Below are 10,794 nucleotides of genomic sequence, written 5' to 3' on the forward strand. Positions count from 1 at the left end.
CCTAGTCACTATTAATTGTACATTTCTGGATGAAGTCTTTTTCTGTGTTTCAAAAAAGTTACTTATTTAAAAAAAATGTTGACCTAAAACCCATTCCAAAATTGAGGACTAATTCCATTGTGTTTCTCAAGAAATTACATACTGCATAATGTTTATTTTGTGCTTGAAAGCAATTATTAACCAATCTCTTTAAATATGTAATTTTCAGTAACATTTAATGTTTCTGACATTTATTCTTAGATTTTACGCTCTCTTTCTAAAATTATGGAACAAGTCTACAGGAATGTGACCAAGCAGGAGAAGAATCCTTTTAATTATATGATAGTGGTAAATTGTTTTGTGCTCTGGAATAATCCACCAGAAAGGTAAAGGAGATAAACTGGTACCCATCCAGCAATAAAATGGTTTTGTATCTACTCCAGAAAACTGCAGCAAAGAGCTGGCAGATGTGTGATGCTTTGTCAAACTTTATCAACTACCTTTGAAAAGAAGAAATTTTTGAGTCAATACTTAGGAAAGAGAACACCCCGAAGATCTATCTGATATGACTCACTGCCGCTAGTGTGAAACTAAAATGTTTGTGTTTTTATTTTAGTGACATTGTATGCCTCCTGTATTCTCCTGGGAGTGTTCTTGAATAGCAGCGTGCCTATATTTTTTGAGCTTTTTGTGGAAACTGTCTACCCAGTTCCAGAAGGAATTACTTGTGGAGTTGTCACTTTTTTAAGTAATATGTTTATGGGAGTACTTTTATTTTTTCTCACATTTTATCATACAGGTAAGAAATTTGATTTTTTATTTACTATCTAAATGTGTTACAAGAAAAGTTTGGGTCACTAGTGTATAGAAGTTTTTATATGGAGAAGTCTCACCAAGGCAAATTACTTTATGTGAACTTCCATTGCCAGTAAAAGAAAAATTCCTCAGTTGTTTTTCTTAAAATGCATTCTAGCTCAAGTGCACCCTCACTCTTCTCTGCCCCGCCCCTGTACTCCCCCACCCCCGAATTTCTGAATTAATTAACCTGGGCTGGAGCCCAGTATTTGTATTTTTAAAATCCTCCCCACCCCCACGCCTTACCCTACCAGGTGATTCAAATATGTAGATTCTCATTGAGAACCTCTGGTCTATTGCTTTTTAAAAACTACTTCGAATCTCTCTTAACACAGGGTGTAAATTAATGTTAGGGGTGTATATGGAGTTTAAAGCCTGAGGGATGAATGACAGGATGTCACCCAATGTAAGGAATGCTCTAAAATGTGACACTCCAAGAGGCCGAATTGTTTATAGGAGTGTTTCTGACAGGGTTATAACTGAAATAATAACCGTGCTAACCTCCTTGACTGGAAAGCAAATTTTGAAACTTTTTTTTTTTTTTGAGACAGAATCTAACTCGGTTGCCCAGGCTGGAGTGCAGTGGCACGATCTCAACTCACTGCAACCTCTGCCTCCCGGGCTAAAGCGATTCTCCCGCCTCAGCCTCCTGAGTAGCTGGGACTACAGGCAGGTGCCACCATGCCTGACTCATTTTTGTGTTTTTAGTAGAGACGGGGTTTCACTGTGTTGGCCAGGCTGGTCTGGAGCTCCTGACCTCAAGTAATCCACCCACCTCAGCCTCCTAAAGTGCTGGGATTACAGGCATGAGCCGCTGTGCCTGGCCAGAAACTTTCAAAGCCAGTGTGAAACATAATTATCCCTGGGTTTTGGACAACTTCTGGCATAGCACTTTCACCCAACAGCAAAAAGTGTCCATAGGATAGATGAATTTCTTAATATAATGAACAGTACATTAGATTGTTTCTGTCAATCAGTAATGCAGGTAAAGTAGGTCTTTGCTAAACCTGATACAAGTTTGGTTTATCATATGAAGGAGAGTGATATTAATGAAGTCAGAAGGCCACTCTTTGTTGTCCTGGAAACACGTGCTTCCATTAGGGAAAAGTGCCATCACCAGAAATCAGGTTCTTTGCTTCCAATTAGTTTTCTCAACAACGAAGTCTGACAATCATTACATATCAGCTTTAATCCACTTCAGTTGTATCACAATTTAAATTAAGTGGCTTATTGCCTGTCTGCCTGGTAAAGCATCGGAGATGGCTGTGATCCCCCCTGGGATGGTAGAAGCAGTTTTCCAGCCGATGGGCACAGCTTTGCTTAGTGGTTGGTGCCGCCCAGCAGAGCATGGTTTTTCCTGTCAGCTAGAAATAGAGTTTTGTCCTCCCAGTATTTAAAAAGAACAACAGCAGGTGCCAGATAATGTTATCCCCCAATAAATCTTTTGCTTATGGTCTCTAGGATATAACAAACACATTTTTGTTGATCAGTTTAAGGCAGAGAAGACACCAATAATGGAAACTGCCCTAAACTGTCTTACTGCAGCAGAGCTCCGTACACACCTGACCATTTTGCCTGGCCAGTAGTTTATCTCTGTCACTCTCCTGGGTCCTGCTGCGGTTTTGACTTGTTTAACAGCATCTGGTGTCTGGAGTGAATTAAATGGAACCGACGTCAGTCAGTGCTCATTCCTCATTTTGCAAATTCATAGTGACCAGATACAAGCAGATATTTTATTTCTTTGGCAGAGGGAGCAGAAGGAACACTTAGCACTATTTCTGCCCATTTCTGATATAATCAAGGATTTTTCTAGCTGGGAGAAACAAAACTTCCCTCTTTTTGGTCAGTTTCTGACCACATGTTCTTATACATGTTTGTGTAGATGTTAAAAAGTTTCCACCTAAACTTTGTGACTATTGTGAACAAAAGTGAAACTTATTTTTTAAATAATTTCAATGTTTCTTTTAGATTCAAGGAGTACATGTGCAGGATTGTTACATGGGTATATTGCATGACAATGAGGTTTGGGACATGAATGATCCCATCACCCAGGTAGTGAGCATAGTACCCTATGAAACTATAAATAATCATTAATTTTAATCCACCAAGGTGGTTTCCAGGAAAAAGGTCTCATTAAATTTTGGCATTTTAGGCAGTTAATGAGAAGATACCTGTAAAAGAGCCAAGTCCAGGGCACAGCTGGCACCCACCAGTGTTTGTTTTGTTTCTTCTAGATAATTAGCTGACTGATGCTAGGAAGTTAAATATCTAGTCTTCCATTGTAAAGAAATGCTTTTATATGTGTATTTATGAGTGTGCATAATGAATACACAGAAACATCGTCCACATCTCTCTAGGGCTAAAGTTACTAGAACCATGAAATCTATGTTGAAACTCTTTTTAGTAGGATTAATTGATCTTCCCCTAAAAGTCCTGCAGCAGAGGTCCACATTCTTTATGGTCTCAGGTATGATTATACACAAATTGCAAATCTAAAAATTCTGTAAAACTGTTTCCTAACAATAACTGTTAGTTCCACAGCCTAGTACCCTAAACATTTTATATGATAAACTGAACCCCCTTCCATTAAAGCCAGTGTTCATATGTCATTATTCAGTTATTTTGAAACTTGAAAACTCACCCAGAAGTTAATTATATGTCAAAATTCAACTATTAGTTATGTGATTAGAAGGCCTGAATTTTTTAGGGGTGGGGGAGACAGGGTCTTGCTCTGTCACCCAGTCTGGAGTACAGTGGCACCATTATGGCTCACTGCAACGTTGGCCTCCCAGCCTCAAGTGATCCTCCCACCTCAGCCTCCCAAGTAGCTGGGACCACAAGCATGTGCCACCAAACCTGGCTAATTTTTTGTATTTTTTGTAGAGATGGGGTTCTGCCATGTTGCCCATGCTGGTGTTGAACTCCTGGGCTCAAGCAATCCACCTGCCTTGGCCTCCCAAAGTGCTGAGATTACAGGTGTGAGCCACCACACCCAGCCTAGAAGGCCTGATTTTTAATCATCATAAAGATCTGTGGTTTTTTAAGTCACTTCTCAAGGAAGTACTAAACTTCCTGACTAGGGTTTTTCCCCCTACAGTGTGCTATCTGATAAATGAATACATCAGATAATTTTTCAGGGCTATACAGACTAACCCCAAAATGACCATAATGGAATATCTTGCCTAGCAAGCTAGGTTCTGCTGGCAATTTGCTTGCAGATTAGAGCCATTGCAGTCATTGAGGGCAAATGTGGTTCAGGCTCCTATACCAATGCCACTGGCTTATTTGGAGCCCTGGGTCACAGGGTCTCCACCTCCTATTTCAGTTCTGCTTTGGGTACCTGGAACCTTGTCAGAAGTTTTTTAGAGTTTTACTGACTTGGATTTTTCAAGGTCACTTTCAAAAAAAAAGTTGTTACTTGCTCCCTAATATAAACATATTTGTAAAACTGAGTTGCTTCCTGTGTTTGTTTTGAGAATCCCATTGAGTTGACATAGCACAGTGATGCTTTATTCTAATGATGTCACATAGAAAAATCAATTTGAGAATGCTGTTGTATCCTTTATGTGCTCTGCAATGTATTCTGTTTAATATTCTGAAGTTTGTGTTATCTGTTACTTTTTGTTCTAGAAGCTTTGCAGCGGGTTTTGCTAAAAGCATCATGATTTTTATCTCAGCTCTTTCATTTTAAAGTGGCTGACCATGAATGTGAGGCTGTGTTGTCACTCAAAAGATTCAGGGGCCTGGCAGAGGTGGGAGGCATTGACTAATGGTTACCAGGAAAACAAAGAGCAGGTTCAACAGATGTGGACTAGTGAGAAGTAATTTTATATCTAAGAAGCAGAATAATGGAATGTGATGGTAAGATCTACTGGGTAATTGATGTGGAATGAAGATAGCAGGGCATTATCCTGGGAAATCATGGGGTCAGCTGGCTGCTCACCTTGAGTGAGAAAGGAGACAATCTTGTTAAATCATCATAAAAGAAAATAGGAAGTTTGTTCTGGAGAGTGGTAGCTGGAAACAGACAAGTACTTATAAGTGGTAGAAACCGAAAGCGTGACTCCACTGTAGGGAAAGATGAGGTGAAAAGTACAACAGTGCTTCCAGAAGAAAAAGTAAGAGGATGAGCAAAATCCCAATTAATTCAGTCCCAACAGAGCCTCACCATTTGGTGCAGAGCCCACTTCACTGAGTAAAGTCGAGCACCTGTCTAAACTATAAGTTGGCAGAATGAGCACTCCGACTGCTGTGTAGTAGACAGTAGAGACACAGCGGAAGTATGGGGCAGACTGTAGGCCCCTGCCTTCAAGTGTGGATTTATATTTTATCTAGTGAAAGGCAAAGGGAAGGAGTATTAGAAAACCATGCTCATTTTAAAAGATGAAAAGAATTATAATACAAAAATTTCAGTGGCTCGCGATTCTGTTAGTTCATCTACATCAGGGTCAGAAAGGGGATCAGAAAGGACAGCAGCTGACTTTGCTACTGCCAAGTCAAATTAGATTTTTAAGCAAGTCATTTCCTTGCTTATTAGAGCACCTAAACAGTGGTTTATGTGAATGGTTTTCAGCAGGAAAATGTAGAGGTTCCCCTATCTCTGACTTTTTGCTTTCTAAAAAGGCAAATAATTTCGAAGAACACTTGTAGTTGATTGAGACAAGTGAATTTACTGAGAGGTGGATTTGACTTTTGAGAGAGAGGCACACAGTAAAAACCAGTCAACAAACCATGGCGCTAAAGAGCAATTATGAGACGTTTTTAGAGATTTCATCTGAACCTATGTAGAAGAAATGATTTTACAATTCTAATAGTAACGCTGAAATAAAAGATCTGTTTTGACAATATTTGAAATGTTTCTCAGTTTAAGAAAAGCAAGGACAGGCGGATTGTTGCTATGTGTGTTGCTCTAGTTCCCCATAAAATACAGTCTCTAAGATATAGCAACTATCGTTGTAAACTGTTTTGTCAATTACCATACTTTTTTTTATCTGTTGCTTAAAACTTGACCCTGAAGTCCAAGCTCTCCCTTTTAATACAAACAAAATGCTATTGTCTATATTTTACTACTTTTTAATTTTTTACTGCTTCTTTTTGCCTAGTAAAATTATCAGAAATCCAGGGGTTATATAGTCAAAAGCAGAAAATGCCCAGTGTGTCATTTCAGGGAACATCAGAATGAAGACAGGATCTCATAGATCACATCTTCTCTGAGTATTTAGACTATGTCCAATCCAAGTAAAGCAGAGAAAACAGCTTTGCATAAAAATACCATTGAAATATATGTCTTTGTTACATACTATAGAATAGCATGTCTGACTTTTAAAACATAGTAATAGAGAGGTGGGGAGTCTGTATTTGTGAGCATATTACAGAAAAAAAGGTATTGCAGCACCTTTTCTTGCCAGTCAGTTTTCTGATTTCCATTCCTGAGCATAAATTGCTCCTTTAGCCATAAGAATTATGGATTAAACTAAAGCAGCAGTGTGGAAATCTTTAGGATGACTTTTGAAGATTAAGGCAGTATTAGCATTTTGTAGAAGTACAAAGGGAAAATATAAACCCATAACAGTGACCAAAAAAGAAAAAAGGCACCAAGGAGCTTATTTTCCTTGTTTATTTTTTGAATTGAAACTGCTGAATGGATATTAAACTAGAAACGTTGTCCCCACCACCTTCACCAACCTCTTTATGCCGAGGAGCTATTCACTTCAGAGCCTTGGGATTGACTGGCAGATGGGATTGGGGTAGAGGAAGGCTGAACAGATGCACAGCCCTAGGGTCCCTGGAGCTCCAGGAAGCAGCTAGAGGCAGCCACAGTGGTCAGTGTGTGTTGGTAGCAAATGGCTGAGGATTGTCTTGTTGGAGAATCCTGAATTCATGAGAGAGCATTTCTAAAGAACCATGTTCTTGACACATTAAATCAAACAACAACAGAATTGCCCATTCAGATGATGCCTATAGGTTTTCCAATAATTGGCATCATATATAACCATTCATGCTGGTAGAGAAAAAGACTAGAAAGAAATAAGCCAAAATATTCACAGTGATCTCTCTGGGGACAGAATTATGATTGATTTTTTTGTATGTTTTATTTTTAAATATATTTTCTCATCTATTTTACAGTGATTTCTACTTAATGTTTTTGCTGAGAAATAGATATTTCTATCCAAAACATATAAAAGTGTTATTTCAAAATTCAGATGATTTTCGTATTTGTCTTTTTAATCCATCAGATATTTATAAACAGGGACAAGAGTGATGATGATAGAGGGTACTTAAAAAATAATTATCAAACTAACATTTAAAGGTGATTGATTTTTTTTCTTTGAAGTAATTTATTTTGTAACCAAAGTCAAGGTGGATTAAATTGATGAAAAGTTATGAACAATATTGATTAAAAATATTCCACATGGAAGCCCCGTCATATATTACACACATCACTTAGTCTCCAGATTGTCACTATTTATTGAAAGCCAGTTTCTAGGCCTTCCAGGGTACATTTATTATAAGTACTTTTTAATGCAGAGCAGATTCCTTCCGGCATACAGGTGGTGGTCTGCTGGTGATACATGAATGTTTAAAACTGCATGTTTTTTTGTCTTACAGAGTTGTCTTGGTTCAACTGGTGCCTTCCCGGGTCGTGTTTGCTCAGTCTCCTCCTCATTCTGTGCTTCAGGGAATCCTATGACAGACTCTATCTTGATGTGGTTGTCTCCGTTTAATAGCACAGACTTGAAGGAGTTTAAAAGGAGGCTGGAAATCAATACTGCACACTGCACATTTGCTCAGAATTGCACATCTAACAGGAAAAGAGGGAGAAGAAAGAAACTTCATTCAGAGGTTTTGTTAGGTTACAGATTATCACATTAATTTAATTACTACTAGGTAATAATAATGGGAGACTTGAGTGATAATAGGGGATTTTAAAACTCTACAGATGGCATACCTGTGCCTGCTTCTGGGGTTGGAAGTGTGACTTCTTACACATAAAGCACTACCTAAGTAATTCTCTCTCTGTTTTGTGCCAGTGCTAAACTACTGATTACTTGTAATTATGAAAAGAAATAAAGGGTGTCTATCATATGAAGATAACGCCTTCCCTAAGTCACATATCAGAATAGGAAGATATGCCACTAACTTCTAAAGAAGTTCAAACCCTGTATCCAATTTTAATGATAAAATAGCCAAGAGGTATATCGATGATGGAAATTAGCCACATGTACACTACATTTTTTCTAATAAAGCCATTTCTTATATGACTCCTTATTTTAATCAGGTCAGAAGCCCTTGGCCATCTTTACTATGGTGATCAGGTGCTTTCCAGTGACTTCTGAGCATAGGCACTGTGTCTCCATCTCAACTTATCCTTGTTTCTGTGAAATACAATTTCATCTACTAGGCCCTTAAATAATTATGTGAGGGTGTCTAAATGTTTAATATGATTACATTAAATATTGTATGAAAAAATGTAATTCCATTAGGATCTAGCACTTTGTTACAAGTGAAATGACAAGTCACATGGACATACTGTGTCTTCTGCCTGTATATGGTGGCATGAGATGTAATGTCCAGAGCCAACAATTATTTACCAGGGTTAGATTTTATTCAGTGACCCTTGTTTAAAAATAATAATTTATCACATTGAAACTTTCAGCTCTGTCGAATGATTTCTGAATTACATCCTGTGTTTCAGCTTAGGTTGTAAAATACTCCGTTCTCTGTGGAGTCAGCATATTTGAGAGGGCAGCGTTTTGCCAGTACCTATCTTCTTTCTACAGAAGATAGCTTTTTAAGAAATAAGAGTTCCACATTGAGTGGCTGTCAGACACAGATTTCACTGTGACGTAAAATACACTGCAGTGAGAATATGGTATCACCACTATTCATATTTACATCATTCCCCTCACACAGAAAAACCAACCCTTTTCCCAAAAAGTCAAGAATACTGCTATACCTTTATTATTCTCAGCTTCCTCCAGCCCTTCTTGTTTTTCCTCACTTGAAATTGAACCTTCATTGTCAGCTAAGTATATATACTTTTGTGTTTTCCTGGACAGAGTGCAAGTGGCTCTTATCAGCCAAGGTGGTGAAGGTTCAGGAAAGCTGGGCAGCACTGGGCCCTGCTCCTCTCTGCACCTGTGTGCGCCATGACACACCCACATGCAGATTCCCAAGTCTGTCTCCCCTCCCCCTTAGCAAGTACAAGGCTGTGCATTAACTCACCTCGGTCCTAGAGGAGTATCCTAGTACTGCTTGGCAACTTCTAAGACCCTAACTTGTGAAACTAGGGAAGTAAGAAACCGTTCAAATTTAACATCTGTCTTCAGTCATCTTTAAATCGTCTCTCTTTATAAACACTCTGCTCACTTAGCAGAAGGACTGAAGGAACTAAGGAACTTGCTAAAGAGAAGAAGAAAACAAAAGCTAGACTTAGTTCCAGTTAATTCTGTTATTCTTCTGAAATAAAAATGAAATAAAAGGAAGGCAGAATTCTCTTTTTTTTTTTTTTTAGACAGGATCTTGCTCTGTGATGGTGCAATCTCAACTCACTGCAACCTCCATGTCCCAGATGCAGGTGATCCTCCCGCCTCAGCCTCCCGAGTAGCTGGGACTACAGGCACGCACAACCATGCCTAGCTAATTTTTCTGTTTTTAGTAGAGACAGTGTTTCTCCATGTTGCCCAGGCTGGTCTCAAACTCCTAAGTGATCCACCCGCCTCAGCCTCCCAAAGTGCTGGGATTATAGGCGTGAGCCACCACACCAGGCCAAGAAGGCGGATTCCTTGAAGATGATTCAAAGCCAGCCATTAAGGATATCCGTAGACCATGACCCGGATGCTAAATAAGCACCACCCCTTCCTGTTCAGAGGGAAGAGAGAAAGGAGAGGGAAGAATTATAAGGTATTTGGTTTTAGTCCGAACTATTATGTTTGAGGATGTTGTGGTATAACATTCTGCAATAGTAAGATTTCTTGTGTAGAACATTTTAATTATGGTTAATTGCACTTTTTTTTTTTAAGGGACAGGATCTCAGTATGTTGCCCAGGCTGGACTCAAACTCCTGGGCTCAAGTGATCCTCCTACCTCAGCCTTCCGAGTAGCTGGGACTACAGGCATGCACCACCACACCAGGCTTAATTCTTCTTTTAACACAAAGTAGAATAACACTCTAAAAGTATTACCTAAATGACTAATTAGTTCAAAACATCCCAAGTGGTAGTGATTAAAAATTCTTGCATTGTTCAGAATTCTTGTTTTTAGAATACATGAGGTGAGACGAGTCCCTGTACTTTGTTTGTATGTGCTTACCCCTCCAGCAGGTAATTGTTCTAATTATAAACTGCAACTGTTTTAAGTGATCAAAAATTTCATATACCAAACCTGACAGGAAGGGAACCAAAAGGCTTGGGGGTGGGGAGAAGATTACACATCATTTACTTGAATATTGCAAATCATATTTTCTTTTTGTTTTTATTTCTATCATGCATCAAAATAGACCAGCTGCTTTCTTTGCACTTTCTAACCATTATAGAATCCTAATGAAATGTTACAGCTGAAAGAAATCTTAACCCTTCACTAATCCAAACCCTCATTTTAGAATTTATAGAAATGATTCTAGAGAGGTAAAGTACAACTGAGGCTCACAGTTTCTGACTCCTAAACCAGGTGTTTTTTTCCTACCTCACAGAAGCTTAATTTAGACCATTTTGGGTGTGCATGAATACCTTCATGTTAAAAAATGATAGGGCTTTAACAGTAAGCTTCCATTATTGAGTATGGGAAGTACAAGGATTAAGTTAAGGTGATTATTTGGTTTATAAGTAAAATTCTTTTTTCTCCATCACTATCCTGAAGATGCTCTGTCAGCTCTTAGCCCTTGGGTTGTAATGACATCATGTAAAAAGATTCTGATGAATAATTCAATCCCATAAACCAAGTCAACACCAATATTAATTG

General features: G+C 38.5%; 1 protein-coding gene across 1 annotated transcript in view, besides 1 other annotated feature; it reads left to right on the top strand.

Annotated features, from left to right (window-relative positions):
* Positions 1–9,320, top strand: part of SLC49A4 (solute carrier family 49 member 4) — an 86,071-nt gene extending 76,751 nt beyond the window's left edge. The window contains exons 8-9 of the mRNA NM_032839.3: positions 596–778; positions 7,444–9,320. Of these exons, the coding sequence (NP_116228.1) occupies positions 596–778; positions 7,444–7,559 (299 nt within the window). The 3' untranslated portion in view covers positions 7,560–9,320. The remainder of the gene's footprint in view (positions 1–595; positions 779–7,443) is intronic.
* Positions 2,369–2,569: a silencer, noted in NCBI's record as "peak4798 fragment used in MPRA reporter construct". NCBI's record gives its function as "represses an SCP1 promoter by STARR-seq MPRAs in K562 erythroleukemia cells {active_cell/tissue: K562}" and the evidence as "EXISTENCE:reporter gene assay evidence [ECO:0000049][PMID:32103011]".

Source organism: Homo sapiens, chromosome 3, assembly GCF_000001405.40.
Source record: "Homo sapiens chromosome 3, GRCh38.p14 Primary Assembly".
In the NCBI taxonomy this organism is placed as follows: domain Eukaryota; kingdom Metazoa; phylum Chordata; class Mammalia; order Primates; family Hominidae; genus Homo; species Homo sapiens.